The sequence below is a fragment of the Homo sapiens genome, chromosome 12, assembly GCF_000001405.40.
Source record: "Homo sapiens chromosome 12, GRCh38.p14 Primary Assembly".
In the NCBI taxonomy this organism is placed as follows: Eukaryota; Metazoa; Chordata; class Mammalia; order Primates; family Hominidae; genus Homo; species Homo sapiens.
The window spans coordinates 118,816,971-118,835,695 of record NC_000012.12 but is presented as its reverse complement, the minus strand read 5'-3'; the positions used below and the strand labels follow the sequence as shown (position 1 = coordinate 118,835,695).

Below are 18,725 nucleotides of genomic sequence, written 5' to 3'. Positions count from 1 at the left end.
AACAGCACAAGTCCGTGTCCCTTCTGTGTGTTTCCCTAGCCCATTACACTCACACTATAGTCACACTTACACATTGTTTTGGAACAATTTGCCCATTTATTTACCAGTATTTCCCACTAGACCGTGAGCTACACGGCCTCTGCCTTGAACCCCATAGTCTCATAATCCATTGCTTACTCAACGTCTTCATCTGTATGTCCTGTAACATGATGGACTTAACATATCCAATACTGAACTCCTGATACTCTTACCAAACCCATCCCTCCCTAGTCTTTCTTATCTCAGCAAATGGCAACTCTATCCAATCAATTGCTTAGGCCAAAAACCCTGGAGTTATCCTCAATGCCTCTCTTTTCATTATCTCCCACATCTTATCCATCAGCAACTCACATTTCAAAATATTCCCAGAATCTGGTGTTGCTACCCAGATCGAAGCCACTGTGCCCCCTCACTCAGGTTAATGCAACAGGCTTCTAAGCAGTCTCCTGGTCTACCCTTGCTTCCCTATATTCTATTTATTTTCCCCCTTTGACTTTTATTTTATTTTATTTATTTATTTTGGGTCTCACTCTGTTGTCCAGCCTAAAGTGCAATGGCATAATCATAGCTCACTGCAGCCTCAAACTCCTGGGCTCAAGCAATCCTCCCACTTCAGCCTCCTGAGAAGTTAGGACTTGCAGACACCTGCCACCACACCTGACTAATTTTTTAATTTTTTTGTAGAGATGGGGGGGGTCTTTCTATGTTGGTTTCCCAGGGTGGTCTTGAGCCCCTGGGCTCAATATTTTATTTTTATTTTAGATTCAGGGGGCACATGTGATGGTTTGTTACATAAATATATTGTTTAATGGTGAGGTTTGGGTTTTTAGTGTACTCATCATTCAAACAGTGAACACTATATGCAATAGGTAGTGTTTTAAATCCTCACCATCCTCCCCCATTTTGGAGTCCCCGGTGTCTATTCTTTCAATCTATGTATCTGTGTGTACTCACTGTTTAGCTTCCACTTATAAGTGAGAACATGCGGTACTTGATTTTCTGTTTCTGAGTTATTGCTCTTAGAATAATGGCCTCCAGCTCCATCCATGTTGCTGCAAAAGATATGATTTCATTATTTTTTATGGTTGCATAGTATCTCCATTGTGTATATGTACCACATTTTGTTTATCCAAGCATCCATTGATAGACACTTAGGTTGATTCTGTGACTTTGCTATTGTGAATACTGCTGCGATAAACATATGAGTGCAAGTGTCTTGTTTATATAATGATTTCTTTTCCTTTGGATAAATACCCAGTAGCAAAATTGCTGGGTTGAAGTCAGATCCCATCACTTCTCTACTCATGACCCCCTCAATCTTATTCATGATATAAACCAAATCCCTCCTATGGCCAACATGTCCCTGCATGATCTGACCCAGCTACCTTCTGTCCTTGCCACCTTCTGACCCAGCTACCTTCTGTCTTTCTCCTCCATACTCCCCTTCCCTCATTCCAATCCAGCCACTTCCACCTCCCTGTTGCCCCTGGAACATGCCAAGCATATTCCTGCCTTACAGCCTCCGTACCTGTGACTGCCTCTGCCTGGAATGCTCTTCCTCCAGAGAGCCACAGCATTCCTTCTCCTTTTTCTATCAGGTCTCTGCTCAAATACCACTTTATAAGTGAGGACTCCCCAGCTGCCCTATGTAAAGTATCAGTCCTCTAGCCCCTCCTTCCCTTCCTCCTCCATCCTCCTTTATTCTTTTATTTTTCTCCATGACACAGATCATCACCTGACTTATATATTCCATGTGTATCTATTTATTGTTTATACTTCATCTCCCCATACTAGAATGTAAGACCCCTGAGGGCAGGGCCTTCTGGTCTTTCACTGATGTAACTCCAGTGAGTAGAATCATCCAACCACACTGCTGATTGAAAGACATAGACTCCTGGGAACATGACCCATTGACGGGCACAGGCAACCTCAATGCCACAAAAATGCTAATTAGAAATAATTAAGTAATGGAGAGCCAGGCTCAAACAAAAGAACACCCACCCCAAAGGGTCAAAAGTAAAACAAAAAGAACTAAATACTATGTGGGTGAACTCCAGCTGAGACCAGGGCAACCCGGGGGAGTTCAGACACAGAACACAAGCTCCGAGCGGCTGAGGGCTGGAGTTCTAATGTCACTATGGCAACAAGGGACATGGATTTGGGGCTCTGCAAAGAGGGGAGCCGAATGTGAGACTTGAATAAAGTGAGGTCTCTCAAAGGGAACAGAAGCAGAAAGGTTTCCCACTAGCACAGATGAGTCTGGGCTCTCGGTGGGTCTTTTAGTCTGGGTCCCCCCAAAGCAGACTCTGAAACAAAGATTTGGATTCAGTTAGTTTATTCAGGAGGTGATCTCAGGAAGCATAGTGAGGAAATGGGGGAAGAAAGAGAGGAAAAGAGAAGAAAAATCAGTAATGGGTTCATAATAAGCAAGTCACTGTCGTGGGCAATTGAGGTTCAGTCCTGCTGGGGACCTCTGGGAGCCTGTGTAGAACTCACTTAGGAATCATTCCACCTCAGATGGGGGATGGTACATTTATCCATCAACTCTCATCCCCCAAATGTTGAGGGTTGCTCTGAGGGTATTAACTTCCCTTGTGTTTCCACACTGTACAGAACTCAGCCAGAAAAGCTCCTATGAAACCCAAGAGAGCTCCTACACAGAGAAGGAGAAGCAAGCACTTAAGGTAGGCTGAAGGTAAGCTGTCAGACACACACTGGGAAACGTTGCAGCTTAAAAAAAAAAAAACTCCCAGCCTGGGCAACATAGTGAGACCCCATCTCTACAGAAAATAAAATTAGCTGGGCATGGTGGTGCATGCCTGTTGTCCTAGTTACTCAGGGGGCTTAGGTGGGAGGATCACTTGAGCCCAGGAGTTTGAAGATACAGTGAGCTATGATTGCACCACTGTACTCCAGCCTGGGCAACAGAGCGAGACCTTGTCTCTTAAAAAAAAAAGTCTCAAAGGAATACAGCTTAGGGCATTACTACAATGTGGAAAAAAGTCTCCTATAAGAAACTGGAACCCCAAGCATGCACATATCATGGTGTGTGGGTCTGATTTTTATACTCCCCACATGATATAGAAATCCTCAGACAAGAAATTAACATAAATATATAGCTCTTGAGGCCCAGTAGGAAGAAAAGCAATAACATTTTGTAAAGATTGAATTCATTACCAGGAAAGTCTGTTGGGGTCTCCACCTACCACACTGAGTTTATGGACAATGAAGCCAGATCTGTGGAAATGACCAACAGAAAGAAGCAGCCCTAACTCCTAGCACGGAGATGCTCCCGTGTGGAGACAACAGACAGGAAAACGATCAGCTCACCAACAACAATGTCATGAGGAAACGCCCTCTTCTCCCCTTCCTCCTTCCCACTTTAACATAGCAGAAAAGAAGCAGGAAAGTGTGTGGGAGGCAGGAAGAGGGCAGGCCAGACCAACCTCGCCAGCCCAGCCAATGCTGGAGAACTGAAAGGGGGAACTTGGAAGTGAGTATAAAATCGAAGTTTAAAAATCGACTGGATTGTAAAATTGGGACCCTTGTGCATGGTTGGTGGGAATATAAAATGGTGCAGCCACTGTGGAAAACAGTATGGTAGTTCCTAAAAAAAAAGAGTTATCATATAATCCACAATCCCACTTCTGGGCATATTCCCAAGAGAACTGAGAGAAGGATCTCAAGATGTTTGTACACCCATATTCACAGCAGCATTATTCACAACAGCTAATATGTGGAAGCAACCCAAGAGTCCATCAATGGATGAATGGATAAGCATAATGTGAAATATATATATATGTGTGTGTGTGTGTGTGTGTGTGTATATATATATGTGTGTATATATATATACATATATATGTATATATATACACACACACACACACACACACACATATATATATATTTGACTATTATTTAGCCTTAAACAAAGAAGGAATCAGGTGCCGTGGCTCATGCCTATAATCCCAGCACTTTGGGAGGCTGAGGCAGGAGGATTGCTGGAGCTAGGAGTTCAAAACCAACGTAGGTAATATGGCGAGACCCCATCTCTGCAAAAAAATTTTAAAAATAGCCAGGCATGGTGGCGTGTGTCTGTGGTCCCAGCTACTTGGGAAGCTGTGGCAGGAGGATCACTTGAGCTCAGGAGGTTGAGACTGCAGTGAGTTGTGATCACACCATTGCACTTGAGCATGGGCAAAAGAGCAAGACTTCTGTCTCAAAAAAAGAAAAAGAAAAAAGAAAAGAAAGAAATTCTGACACATGCCACAATATGGATGAGCCTTGAGGACATTATGCTGAGTGAAATAAGCCAGTCACAAAAAGACAAATACTTCATGATGTCACGTACTTATGAAGTGCCGAGAGTAGTCAAATTCACAAAGACAGAAAGTAGAATGACGGTTACGAGGGATTTAGGGAGAAAGGGAGTAGGGAGTTATTTAATGAGCACAGAGTCAGTTTTGCTTGATGAATAGGGCTCTTGAGACGGATGGTAGTGATGGTTGGACAACGATAGGTGCTTAATCCCACAGAACTATACACTTAAAAATAGTTAAGATGATAAATTTTGTTATATTTTAATATAATAAAAAATAGAAAAACATGGACCAGTAACTAGGCTATTTTAATAGCCCATGGAGATTGAAAAGTTATGGGATCTAATTGACTTACCAGGGAGCAAGAAGGCCAGATGAGTGTGGGAAGTATAACAGAGACTGTCCTTGTGGTAATTATTGGGAAAAATACAAGAATTTCATGTTTATTTCTCAATTTTACAGGCTACGGTGGCAATTTCGGAGATATTTTCCAAATTAGATACATTTCCCCATCTCTATGTCTAGTGTTTACCCTCATGCATGCATGTGTGGGCACACGTGCATGCACACACACACATACACACAGAGCTGAGGAAGGCCCTTGAGGCTGGAAACATTCAACACGCATTGCCGCTTTTGTTGGTAGAACACAGGGCATTTTAACAAGAATATTTCTGGTTCTGCTGAGAAGCAGAGTATCATTAACCATCACAGTTACAAAATTTCACACTTCTATTCCAGTTTGTTTCAGGAGGCTTAGAACACTTGGCATACTTTCAGTCACTGGTGGGTGCACACACACTCCCCACCCATGGGAGGAATTGCAATTTTGAGATGCTCCTGCCCAAGTCTAACATGGTGTAATAAGATCCCAGAACATCTGTCAGGCAATTACATGGTGCTGTCTCCATCATTCATGTACTGTGTTACGCACCTGTTCCATGATGCTGAGACAACAGCTCCCCTCAAGGCTTTCCCTGTAGCTTGTGGCATATTGAGCTGCCATATTGGTTCTTTAGGCTTCATTCACAGAGGTTCCTTCTTCTCTTTACCTTGACTTGGGTCTCTCAGCTTCTAGGGAAGCAAGGAGACATTGGCAAGAGCCCCAGAAAATCGTTTTCGAACAAAACTGAGTTATGGTCATGATTCCACATCTTATAACACACCTTTTCCTCTTTACCACTCAACAGCACAGTGGCCCTCTTAATTAAAGTGCTGGAAAAATGCCCCGATCCTCTTCACTTTCCAGGATGGGAAAGAGAGATGGAAATGGGTTAAAGGGGGGCTCTCTCTCACAACCCATGTTCCTCCCACTCTGGGGCCTATGCAAGGACTGCTCCCACTGCCTGGAACACACCCACCTATGCTCTGTTCCTCACTTAATCAATTCTGGCATCTCCTTTAGATTTCAGCACCCAAGTCACTTTCCCAGTCTACAACAGATGTCTTTGTTAGCTTCTCTTACAGGAGCAAGTCGCTGTATCCTTCACATATTGTTCACTTTATAACAATTCATCATTTTTTAGAGAAGCTGAATACAATCTACCTTTTTACCCAGACTCTAACTTCTGCCATCCAAGTATTAACCAGGCCCGATCCTGCTTAGCTTCCAAGATTAGATGAGATCGGGCACGTTCAGGGTGGTATGGTTGTAGGCAAGATGCTAATTTCTCTAAGAGCAAAGACTCTTAATTTTGCTCACCAATATATCTCCAGAATTATATATGCCTGGTACACAGTAGGTACTTAATATACATTTTAATGAATAAATCAACTAATCCTATTTTGCTGAGAAATGCAAACACATTCAGTAAATATTTGTTTGAATAAGTTAACCACTATGTTTAAAACTGATATAAGTACCTACCTAATAATAGTATCTACTTAATAAAGTTATTAGAAGAATTACATTTGTTAATGCAAATAGCTTTTAAACAGTGACTGGCATATAATGAACACAAGATAAACATTAGTTCATTTTATTATTGATATCTTGTGCCCATAATAGGAAGATATTTTGAATTTTTATCTAAAGTGGGCTTTCTTTTCCATATTTTCTGGTAACCCAGCTCTTCTTTCAGCCTGAGCAGCATTTTTCAGATGTGACGACCAAGGCTCAAAGAAACCCTAAGCTGCACAGCCAGGAAATGGCAGAGCTTCAATTCCAATTTACATCTCTCAAACTCCAAAACACTAGTGTTTAATCCACTTTTTCTCAAACCATCTAGAATGGTCAAACAAATAGACTAAAAGAATTTCAACATTATCATTTCGAAAGATCAACTTTTTGGGGGTGGGGGGTTGGAGAGAGGCATCTAAAAAGAAGATATTATTTTACTCAGTAATCACCACCATTAAAAAAGTACCTACAGTGGCTGGTGCGGTGGCTCATACCTGTAATCCCAGTACTTTGGCCAAGGTGAGTAGATCATGAGGTCAGAAGTTTGAGACCAGCCTCGCCAATATGGTGAAACCCTGTCTCTACTAAAAATACAAAAATTAGCCAGGCGTGGTGGCACGTGCCTTTACTCTTAGCTACTATGGAGGCTGAGGCAGGAGAATTGCTTGAACCCTAGAGACAGAGGTTGCAGTGAGCCCAGATTGCACCACTGCACTCCAGCTTCAGTGACAGAGTGAGATTCCGTCTCAAAAAAAGAAAGAAAGAAAGAAAGTACCTACAGTGATAATAATCCCATGCTTAGATAAGAAATGAATCTCCCTTTCTTTTTATTATAACAAGGACAATGGTGTGTACTGATGCAGTATTGGAAACAATTATCTCTATACCTGGTCGGGGCTGTAGCTCACCAAGAAGTTGCTGCCTCAGCCGGTATTACTTACAGAGGGCGATTTTTTTGTGGTTGTTTTGTTTTTAGTCTCATAAAGTATATTTTAACAGTGAATAGAAGACCCTATTGGAAAAATCGATTACATATTTCCATTTTAATGTAAACATTTAGCGTCCAACGCTTTGCCTCACTATCTCATTAGCATTTGAATGCCAAGCACTATTCCAGAAATTTATTTCAAAGCCCTTTTTTTTTCCAGGCAGGGAGAGCAAATAGAACAAAACAGTCACCTAAGCTGATAGTTGACTAAACACAATCATCATGATGAAAGGTTGCTGTGGGGTAAACTTTGGGTGAAAAAATAAAAATATATGATCGCTTTAAATTCATCTTCTCCTCCCAGGGAGCTGCTAAGGTGCTTATTTGGAATTTTTGGAGAATCTTTTCAGTTCTGTTTTGCAAATCTTACACTTCTCCCAAAATAATAATGAATAAATGAAGTGGATTTTAGGATAGTCAGTTGAGGCCCTAAATTACCAAATTTTTCTTTTCTTTATATTAAGGAATTACCACCCCCCAAGATTACCAACAAAAGGTCTTTTGCTGACATCTGTAGGGTTTAAAAGGAAAGTGCTGTTTCAAGTCCAAAGCTAGGTTTAAGTCTTATCTCCGTGGTAAGTTGGTGTCCTGCTTCGAAGGCTGGGGAAGACAGCCCATCCTGTTCCGGAGAAATATTCAGACCGTATGAGTTGTGCCACCTCCACCCAGCATGCCAGGTGCAATTGAGGCAATTTAGGTTGAGTGCAAAGTGCTCCGTTTCAGGCTGAAATCATGCCAAAGACTCCTTACAAATGCTATATTCAGCACCTCCAATTTCCCATACCCACTGCATGTTGTCTGCCATTATTACCCAGGATTCCAAAAGCACTTGGCCGCATTAAACAAGAGTCAGGAAGGAAAACAATAGCAAGGAGCTGCTTGAGGACACAAAGCTGGAAAAATGAAGAGGGAGCAGCCAGAGATGTCGACTGAGCTCTGAAAATAGATGTGGCTTAATGAACATGAGAGGGGTTAGGTTTATCCAAAAACACAGATTCAACCTGGTAAGAATTTGATCCTCACACTCTACAGATAGGAGTGTACCTTGGTTCAGCCCCTTTGGGGGACTGTTTGGCAATATTTATTAAAACTAAAAAATGCATGTGCCCTAGGATCCAGAGATTTCTTTCCCTGGCATCTATCCTAGAGAAGAATGCAGATGGATGTGCACAATGAGAGCTACACAAAGATTTTCAACACTGAGTTGCTTGTAATAGCCAAAATACAGGAAATGATCTAATATCCATCAATGGGGAAATAACCACACTGTGAAATACTTTGTAGCAGCAAAAGGACCACGTCCTCTGTCAGATAGATAATAATATCCATGCACACTTGTCCAGGGGCAGGGATGCTCCAGAAACTCTCCTAAATGCCTACCCACAATAAACAGCTTAATCCTTACAACAGTTATTGAGGAGGTTCCCAAATTATGCTAACAGAACAACTGAGGCACCAAGATGTTAAATAATGTGCCCAAGTTCACATGAGTACACAGGACATTCAAAACCAGGTCATCTAGCTCCAAAAGCCATACTACTTTTCAAGGATTTTAACAACATACTTTTCCCCTTTGAATTAAAAAAAGCAAGTTGCAATATGATACATACAGTGTAATATGATTTATGTCTGTATATACAAAACACAGGTGAAATAATGCTATATATTTCTTTATTTATTTATGATTTGTGATTTTTAAAAATAGAGATGGGGTCTCACTATGTTGCCCAGGCTGCTCTCAAACTCCAGGCGTCAAGTGATTCTTCCCCTTGGCCTCCCAAAGTTCTGGGATTATAGGTGTGAGCCACTGTACCCAGCCCTACATATTTTCTATGCACACTTTTTGCAACACAGAGAAAGGTGTGGAAGGATACATTCCAGAAGAAAGAGGTGGAAAAGGAATAAAGATTGAGGGGGTGATTAAAAGAGTTCTATCTTTATTTATAATGTTTTAATTTTTTTAAAAAAGAAGAATATAGCCATGTGTAACTCAAAAATAATTTTTAAAAATTGGTTCAAAAGAGCCTTTCTGAATTACTTGCAGAGACACCTAAATGGGCCAGGCAGGAAATGTCTAGTGGCTTCCATATGTGCAGCATTCTACAGTTCAGAACCTTTTCCACCAATATTGTTCTAGTCAATCTTTTTTTTTTTTTTTGAGACAGATACATTTGGGAACAAGACAAGCAAAATCCTTGCCCTCGTGGAGTTATATTCTAGAATGGAAATACATGATAAACAATTAAATGAATATGACCAGATGGTATTAATTGGCTCAAACCGAAAGGAGGCTCTCATGAGAACTTTCAGTGAAGTAATAAATATGTTGAGGAATCCATAGATGAATAAAGATTCAAGTTTCAGTAAATGTAGGTTCTGGGAGTTTCTTTCTTTCTTTCTTTCTTTCTTTCTTTCTTTCTTTCTTTTCTTTCTTTCTTTCTTTCTTTCTCTTTCTTTCTCTTCCTTCCTTCCTTCTCTTTCTTTTCTTTTCTTTCTTTCTTTCTTTTTGTTTCTTTCTTTCTCTCTCTCTGTTTCCTTCCTTCCTTCTTCTCTCTTTCCTTTTTTTTTTTTTCTGGAGTCAGAGTCTCGCTCTGTCACCCAAACTGGAGTGCAGTGGCGTGTCTTGGCTCACTGCAACCTCCGCCTCCTGGGCTCAAGCGATTCTCCTACCTCAGCCCCCCAAGCTGGGACTACCGGTGAATGCCACCAAGCCCAGCTAACTTTTTGTATTTTTAGTAGAGACAGGGTTTCACCATGTTGCACAGGCTGTTCTCGAACTCCTGAGCTCTGGCAGTCTGCCCACCTCAGCCTCCCAAAATGCTAGGATTGCAGGCATGAGCCACCAAGCCCAGCCTAGCTCCAGTTTTTTTATACAATGGTTCTTAACCAAAGACAATTTTGTCCCCTGCTATGATATGAATGTTTGTGCACCCTCCCCTCAAATTCATATGTTGAACCTAATCCCCAATGTGGTGGTATTAAGAGGTGGGGTCTTTGGGATGTGATTAGGCTATGAGGGCTCTGCCCTTATAAATGTAATTTGTGTCCTTATAAAAGAAGTTTGAGGGAGCTTGCTTGCTTCTTCTACCAGAGGGAAATGCCATCTTTGAAGGAGAGAGAAAGCCCACCTGTAATGCCAGCACTTTGGGAGGCAGAGGCTGGAGGATCGCTTGAGCTCAGGAGTTCAAGACCAGCCTACGCAAGAGAGGAAGACCCTGTCTCTGCACAAAGATTTAAAAATTAGCCAGGCATGGTGTCACACACCTGTAGTCCCAGCTGTTCAGGAAGCTGAGGTGGGAGGATTGCTTGAGCCTGGGAGGTCAAGGCTGCAGTGAACCATGATCATGCTATTGCACATCAGCCTGGGCAATAGAGCAGGACCCTGTCTCAAAGGGAGAGAGAGAGAGAGAGAGCATGCTCACCAGACACTAAATCTGCTGGTGCCTTGATCTTGGACTTCCCAGCCTCCCAAACTGTGAGCAATAAATTTCTGCTGTTTATAAATTACCTAATCTAAGATTATTTTGTTACGGCAGCCCAAGTGGACTAAAACACCTCCTAAAGCATATCAATGACTGAAGACTTTTTTTTTTTTTTTTTTTTTGAGACGGAGTCTCGCTCTGTCGCCCAGGCCGGACTGCGGACTGCAGTGGCGCAATCTCGGCTCACTGCAAGCTCCGCTTCCCGGGTTCACGCCATTCTCCTGCCTCAGCCTCCTGAGTAGCTGGGACTACAGGCGCCCGCCACCGCGCCCGGCTAATTTTTTTTTTTGTATTTTTAGTAGAGACGGGGTTTCACCTTGTTAGCCAGGATGGTCTCGATCTCCTGACCTCATGATCCACCCGCCTCGGCCTCCCAAAGTGCTGGGATTACAGGCGTGAGCCACCGCGCCCGGCCTCTGAAGACTTTTTTTATTGTAATGACTTGGGTAGGGTGGCTGGTGTTAGTAGTATCTGTATAGCAGAAGCCAGGGATGCTGCAAACACATCCTACAATGCATAGGACAGACCTGCATAACAAATAATTATCTGGCTTCAAATATAGTTAGTGCCATGACTGAGAAACTCTGTTCTATAGGAATAAACTTAATCTGTCTGGTAAACCCAGAATCACATATGCATACAATTGTCATTTACCCTCTCTATGGAGAACCTTATCTAGTGTTCCTTACCTTAATCAATGGCAACCATAACCTTGTAGTTGCTCAGGTTCAAGCCTTCAGATCATCTCTACTATTTTCCTAGGGCTCCTATAACAAAGTACCACAAACTGGGTTTCTTCAAACAACAGAAATTGTCTCCCTGTTCTGGAGTCGAGCTGTCTGAGATCAAGGGAATGGCAGGACTGGTTACTCCCAAAGTTTCTAAGGGAGAATCTGTTCCATGCGTCTCTCCTAGCTTTTGGTAGCTTCCAGCAATCCTTAGCTTGCAAATGCATCACTCTAGTCTCTGCCTCTCTCTTCAGTTGGCATTCACCCTGTATCTCTGTGCCTCCCCATGGCTGTCTTCTTATGAGGACACCTGCCATACATATGACTTCACCGTAACTAATACTTCTGCAAAACCCCTATTTTCAAAGAAGGTCACATTCTGAGGTCTTGGTGGTTAGGATATATATATATATATATATATACACACACACACACACACACACACACATATATACACATATACATATATATACACATATATACATATATATACATATATACATACATATATACATATATACATTCAAGATTCTGAGCCTATATATACACATATATATGTATATATATACACGTATATATACGTATATATACATACATACACATATATATACACACACATATATATACATATACACACACACACACACACACACATATATATATATATATATATATATAGGCTCTGAATCTTGAGCAAGTGCCTGAAGACGGTTAAAGTCATGAACCACACCATTCCTGCTGCTGGACATTTGCTGGAATTCCTGGTGCTTATTCTCTTGCAAGCCTGATTCTTCAGTTTCTCATTCATTCATTTCATGCACCCCCAAATCCTTCTTGTATGTTTTCTTTTAGGTGAAGAAAGCCAGAGTGAAATTCCTTTCACTTGCCAGAAATGCTGGCTGATACACCTGCTGAGTATAAGATGCTGTGTGTACAGGAACTAAGATGACACCATCAGTCCCTGTGCTCACACTGCCCACAGCCTTGCAGGGAAGTTCAGAGCATTCTCATCAGGTGTTTGGTTGTGTAGCATCTCCCTCTTTCAACCCCCCAAAAAGGCAACATCTGATTAGAACTGAGATAAGAAAGAAGGGCAGATAATGACTGAACAACTGATATTTGACTTCCCTGCATACTACAGCCCCATTCTAGAGACCAGAGACCATACCCAAGCTTAATCTTATGGGCCTATTTACAAGTCTGGCTAATTAATGACTGTAAAAGCAGTTTGGACTTTGCAAGCCTTTTATAATGTGCCTCATTTAGACATAATGGGCCCAAGATTGCCGCTGGCATCCTCAAGAAAATTAAAAATCCAGTAGGCAGCAGAATTGCCTCTATGCGATTTTCCTATTACTTTTATTTTTATTATGATTGCAAATAGCAGCATTACTAATGGTACCTTGGATGAGGATGCCTTTCTGGGAAGGCCTAGCTGATTTCTCACATCCACAGCATGACTTACTGGGGTCCTTTAGCCAGCAGCATGCTGGTTCCTTCTGCATGATGTCATTGAACACTGGCCAAATGGACGGGGGAGCTCAAGGGCTCCTGAACACATGGAGTCATTCCCAAAGGGGGGCCACTACAAAGGGAGACACCATTCATTATACTCCAGCTCAATGACAGAATCCTAATTGCTATTTCTCTCATCCTTGGCTCTGGACAAGGAGGTGTCTGACGTGTGTGAGCTGGGCAAAATTTGGTATGTTGGAAGTCTGGGTTGGCATGCAGTAGAGAAAGATGGCAACAAATGAACTAGATTGGGGAGGCATGGAATAGCGTGATGAAATCTCCAGCCATCTCATTCTGTCCCACCCCGCACGGGGAATCCTCCCTTTGTCCAGCATCCCCACCTGTCAGTCACTTAGTAGCCATCTAGGTCATCAGATCGACTGTCACAGTATTGCAGTGCTTGTGTTCAAGTAACCTTTATTTTACTTAATAATGGCCCCAAAGCACAAGAGCGGTGATGCTAGCAATTTGGATATGCCAAAATGCTTCCTTAATGTAAAAAAGGTGAAAGTTCTCGACTTAATGACGGAAGAAAAAAAATCATATGCTGAGGTTGCTAAGATCTACAGTAAGAACGAATCTTCTATCCGTGAAATTGTGAAAAAGGAAAAAGAAATTCATGCGAGTTTTGCTATTGTATCTCAGACTGCAAAAGTCATGGCTACAGTGCGTGATAAGTGCTTAGTTAAGAAGGAAAATGCATTACATTTGTAGGTGGAAGACATGAACAGAAATGTCTTCCAGTGGATGGCAATTAGGTACAGTACTATCTGTGGTTTCAGGAATCCACTGGGGGTCTTGGAACATATCCCCTGAGGATTAAGAGGGACTGCTGTATTGTCAGGAATAAATCTAACCTGCGACACTTCAGCAAGGACAACTGCTACCGCTATGCTACAGACACCTCAGTTTAACTGTTTTAAACAACACCTCTGTTAGGGGTTTCCATTTCGAAGCTGATCAAGGAAAAGGATATGACCAGCAGAGGCAGTAATACACCACAAGCATTACTGAGCAGTGCTTGAAAGTGGCTGCATGACAGGTGAAGTCCTTACAGCAGGAGACCATCCAGAGGAGAGGAGGGCAAGGGGACTCCTCAAAGAAAGGGGATCAGACAGTAGGTTATTTGTCTAGATGCTGGGGCTCATCAGCACAGTGGTCTCTGAGTCAGAGAGCTCCAAAGGGCAGCAGTGGCCTGGGGCCTCATAATTACAAGGCCCTTTCTTATCAATGGCTAAGAGCTGAGGTTTTCCAGCATAGGCTCTAAATGACGGGAAATCTGTTCGGGCTATTTTTAAAACAATTGGATGTGCAAAAATTTGAATTTCATTTCTTGGGCTTTTTACCTAATAGGTCTCAGCCTACAGTGAAAAAATAAACAACCAAGGGCCAATATACAGAGGCCAACTTAGGGTTAATATACAGAGGCCATTTATGGCTCATTTATATCACAACTCCCCTGCCATTGCTCCCCGTGAAAAGCTGAGTGTGTCTTCCACCATGTTCATCCAAAAAAAAGACATCACTTATATTTACCTACCTGTGTTTCTCACTTCCAGATTGATGTCTTTCATTGGTTAATCAAATTGGTGAGATTAGGTTGGCGGCACATTAAGGGCAGTGGGACTGGCCTGCCCCAGCTGCACAGAGTGACAGGTGCATGATTAGTAGAAAATTTAAAAGGGCTGGCCACAGTGGCTCACGCCTGTAATCCCAGAATTTGGGGAGGCTGAGGTGGGATGATTGCTGGAGCCCAGGAGTTCAAGACCAGCTTGGGCAACATAAGGAGACTCCATCCCTACACATGCTTAAAAAATTAGCCACGCATGGTGGTGCACACCTGTGGTTCCCAGCTACTCAGGAGGCTGAGGCAGTAGGATCACCTGAGCCTAGGAGGTCAAGGCAGCAGTGAGCCATGATTGTGCCACTGCACTTCAGCCTGAGTGACAGAATGGGACCTTGTCTCAAAAAAAAAAAAAAAAAAAAAAAAAGAAAGAAAAAATTTAAAAGCAATATAATCATACTGACTACAATCAGTGTGCTTTATATTACTGTCATGTGCCAGTAATTCTAAACAAAGTCAATGATAAAATATATCTTCCAGGAGGGGCAAACCATGCCCACTCTTTTTCCTTGGTAGATCACAGGATTCATTCACATTCCTGTGCCCCAGCTACACAGGAAGAACACATTTGTCAAGTGGGATAACAACAGAACCTACTGCACAGGGTTATTGTGAAAAAAAATCAATACTGTGAGGACATCAATCCTCCCCAAATTGATATAGACACTGTAATCAGAATGAAAACCCCAGCAAGTTTTTGTTTTGGTGGAAATTTACAAGGTGATTCTGAAATATGTGTGGAAAATCAAAAGCCAAGATTATCACAAAGAAGAACAAAGTCAGATGATTTTCATGACTGGATATCAGGAGTTATAATAAAGCCAGAGGAATTAAAGGAGCACACTTTGATACAGGAAAAAAAAAATAGACCAGTGGAACAGCATAAAGAGCTCAGAATGAAACCCCTCACACATAGAGACACTTTATTTTATTTTATTTTATTTTGAGGCAGGGTCTTGCTCTGTTGCCCAGGCTAGAGTGCAGTGGTGTGATCATGGCTCACTGTAGCCTTGACCTCCCAGGCTCAAGTGATGCTCCTGCCTCAGCCTCCCAAGTAGCTGGGACTACAGGTAGACACCACCAAGCCTAGCTAATTCTTTAATTTTTTGTAGAGACGGGGTCTCCCTATGTTGCCTAGACTGGTCTCGAACCCCTGGCCTCAAATAATCCTCCTACCTTGGCCACCCAAGGTGCTGGGATTACAGGCATGAACCACTGTGCCCAGCCCAGGGACACTTGATTTATAAGAAAGGTGCCATTGGAGAGTGATGGAGAAACAATAGCTTTCTCAATGAAAGGTTCTGGGTCAATTGGCCATCCACATGGACAAATTTGAATCTTGGTCTCTACCTCATATTATATACAAAAATCAATTCCAGGTGGATTGTAGATCTCCATGTGATTGGAAACATGATAAAACTTCTAGAGGCAATATAGAAGAATATCTTGAGCTTGAGATAGGCAAAGGTTTCTTAAACAAGACACAAAGAAACTGGGATAGGTGAAGCCCCATGGTGCAGTTGGCTCAGAATAAGGGGAAATCCACAAATCAGACTCCTTGTCCAAGTCTTATCCCGTAAAGTTTCCCTGCTTTAGAAATGTTTTAAATCTCAAAATATTCAGGCTGAAACATTCCAAAGCAGAAGAGAATTTCTCATGATACTCTTCATGACAAGCCTCTATGTCTATGCTGCTTTAATAGAGGTGGTGATTGTTTACTATGATCCGGGCACTGTGCAAAGCACTTTGCCATTTTTTATTTTAGAGACAGGGTCTTGTTCTGTCACTGTGATTGGAGTGCAGTGGCATGATCCCAGCTCACTGCAGTCTCAACCTCCTGAGGTGAAGTGATCCTCCCACCTCAGCCTCCCAAGGAGCTGGGACCACGGGCATGCACCATCACACAGGGCTAATTTTTTATGTTTTATTGAGACAGGGTCTCCCTATGTTGCCCCAGCTGGTCTTGAACTCCTGTTTACAAACTCCTTCCACCTTGGCCTCCCAAAGTGCTGGGATTACAGGCGTGAGCCACCATATCCAGTCACTTTGCCATCTTTTTCTTACTTATCTTTATTTCAGCCAGCAGTTAATGCCTGCAAGTTGGTCACCATGGAAACAACACAAGAAAATCTCCCTCCACTACCTCATTCTTTAATATCTGAAATTTTAAATTTACAAAATTAAGATACAAAGAATCAATCATGAAGTTGAAGTTTATATGAGTGCTTTCTGCTGTTGCATGTTGCTCAAGGTACAGTAAAACCTTAACATCGGGTTGACGACTGTAACTTTAAAAAGTCTATTTCCATGCATTTTCTTACTGAATCTCTGTGAAATAGCCATCACTGGCATTGAATTTCCGTTTTCCAAATAGGGAAACTGAGGCACACAAAAACTGTCTCTAGTTTCTGGAACCAATGCTAAAAACATTTTCAGTCATATCCCCCATGAGTGGAAGCACTGGGTGGTCAGTTTGGCAGGGCCTTCTTGAGTGAGGAATGGAACTGCTATTTCTAGGTTTGCCTCTGTGTAGGTAAATAACTGCAGCAGGAAGACAGATATTCACTTAGCCTTTACTTTAATTATCCATGTTCAAAACCTCCTCACCCTATTCCTAAGCTGCTCCTTCTGCCTTCAGTTTTTCCCCATTCCACACATCTCATGGCAACACTCCCAGATTCCCCTGTGTACAGCAAAGTCCTGATATGTGATTTCTTTGCCCCCAAAACATCCTTTGACTTCTCTTCACTTATTTTTAATACAGCATCTGTAATCAAACACCACCAGAAATGATCTTGGCTCACATTTTGACACCAGCACTTACCAATGATGTTTTTGGTCTACTTCCTTAACTTCTCTGAATCTCAGTTTTCTCATCTGTAAATTGGGAATAAGCCTAGAGTTGATATGAGGGTGAAGAAGAATATTTTAAGTATAATGACTGAATACATTGGTGGTTTTAAAAGATAGAATGGAACGCTTGATTCAGTTGACAATACAACCTTTCTTTTTTCTTTTTCTCGTTTTTATTTTTATTTCGTATTTTTATATCTTGTTTTGTGCCAAGTCTATGCTAGCACTTTTCATGCAGGCCATTATCAAATCAGCACAACTACCTCCTGAGGTAGGAATTACTATTTTCTGCATTTTTATATATACAAAAAAACTTAAAACTCTCAGGTGCCACCCAGCTGGTAAATAATAGAATTTAGTTTTAAGCTCAGATCTGATTGACTTCAAAACTCATACTTTTCACAGCTATGCTTGGATCACCTATATCAAAATTTCCTGGGGGGTTGCCAAAGGCAGATCTCTGTTCTTTGCTCCAGACTCAGTATGATGGTGACGGCTAGACTTCCAGCAGCACCCATTCTCCCCTTCTGTCTTTGTGGCTGGAAAATGGCTGCATATCTAGAGATTGCATTTCCCTGTCCTCTTTGTGATTGAATGCAGCCATGTGACAAGTTCTCACTAATGAAATGTGAATAGAAGTAATGCGTGGCAGGCCTCAGCAAGCTGGATAAGAAATATGCATGGCCTCTCTACGCTCTCCCATTGCCTAGAATCTGAATATGGTTGTAACCTAAGCTTGACTAAGTAAATGATAACTAACCTTGACTAAGAAATGTTTGTTGAGAATGGGGGTGGTGCCTCAAGAGGAAAGAAACCTGGGTCTTTGAATGCCTATGTGGTTTAGTTATCAACAGCTGCCTAACAAACCACTCCTACATCTCAGACACTTTAAATAACAGTCATTTATTGGACCTGTGAATGTACAATTTGGGCAGAGATTGATGAGGATGGCACCAGGAGGGAAGGCTTAACTGGGGCAGGAGGATCCACTTCCAAGGTAACTCTGGTAAGTAACAAAGAGGTCAGTTTCTGGCTGCCCAATGCCTCTGAGGTAATTAAGCCCTTGCACGTAGTTGGCAAACTGAGCTCATCTAGGGCTGACAGCTAGGAACTCCACCTCTTCTCCACATGTGCCTCTGCACAGGGTGTTGGGCTTCCACACAGCATGGCTGCTGAGTTCTAAGAGTGAGTATTACATGATCAAAGAAGTGGAAGCCTACCGTTTCTTAAATCCTGGGCCCAGGAACTGGCACAGTGTCACTTCTAAAACATTCTCT

At 42.1% G+C, this 18,725-nt stretch overlaps 2 long non-coding RNA genes and 1 pseudogene across 2 annotated transcripts; 1 reads left to right on the top strand and 2 right to left on the bottom strand.

The window, feature by feature from the left end:
• Nucleotides 1–1,056: 1,056 nt before the first annotated feature.
• LOC107984472 (uncharacterized) lies at nucleotides 1,057–17,487 on the bottom strand. Its single transcript, XR_001749170.1, has 3 exons — nucleotides 17,420–17,487; nucleotides 5,293–5,432; nucleotides 1,057–1,091 (listed from the first exon to the last, which is right to left on the bottom strand). It is a non-coding gene; the product is annotated as an uncharacterized LOC107984472 (long non-coding RNA).
• Nucleotides 2,160–16,892, top strand: LINC02439 (long intergenic non-protein coding RNA 2439). Its single transcript, NR_134997.1, has 3 exons — nucleotides 2,160–2,309; nucleotides 2,653–2,734; nucleotides 16,675–16,892. It is a non-coding gene; the product is annotated as a long intergenic non-protein coding RNA 2439 (long non-coding RNA).
• On the bottom strand, nucleotides 5,891–6,015 carry RNA5SP374 (RNA, 5S ribosomal pseudogene 374; annotated as a pseudogene).
• Nucleotides 17,488–18,725: the final 1,238 nt, after the last annotated feature.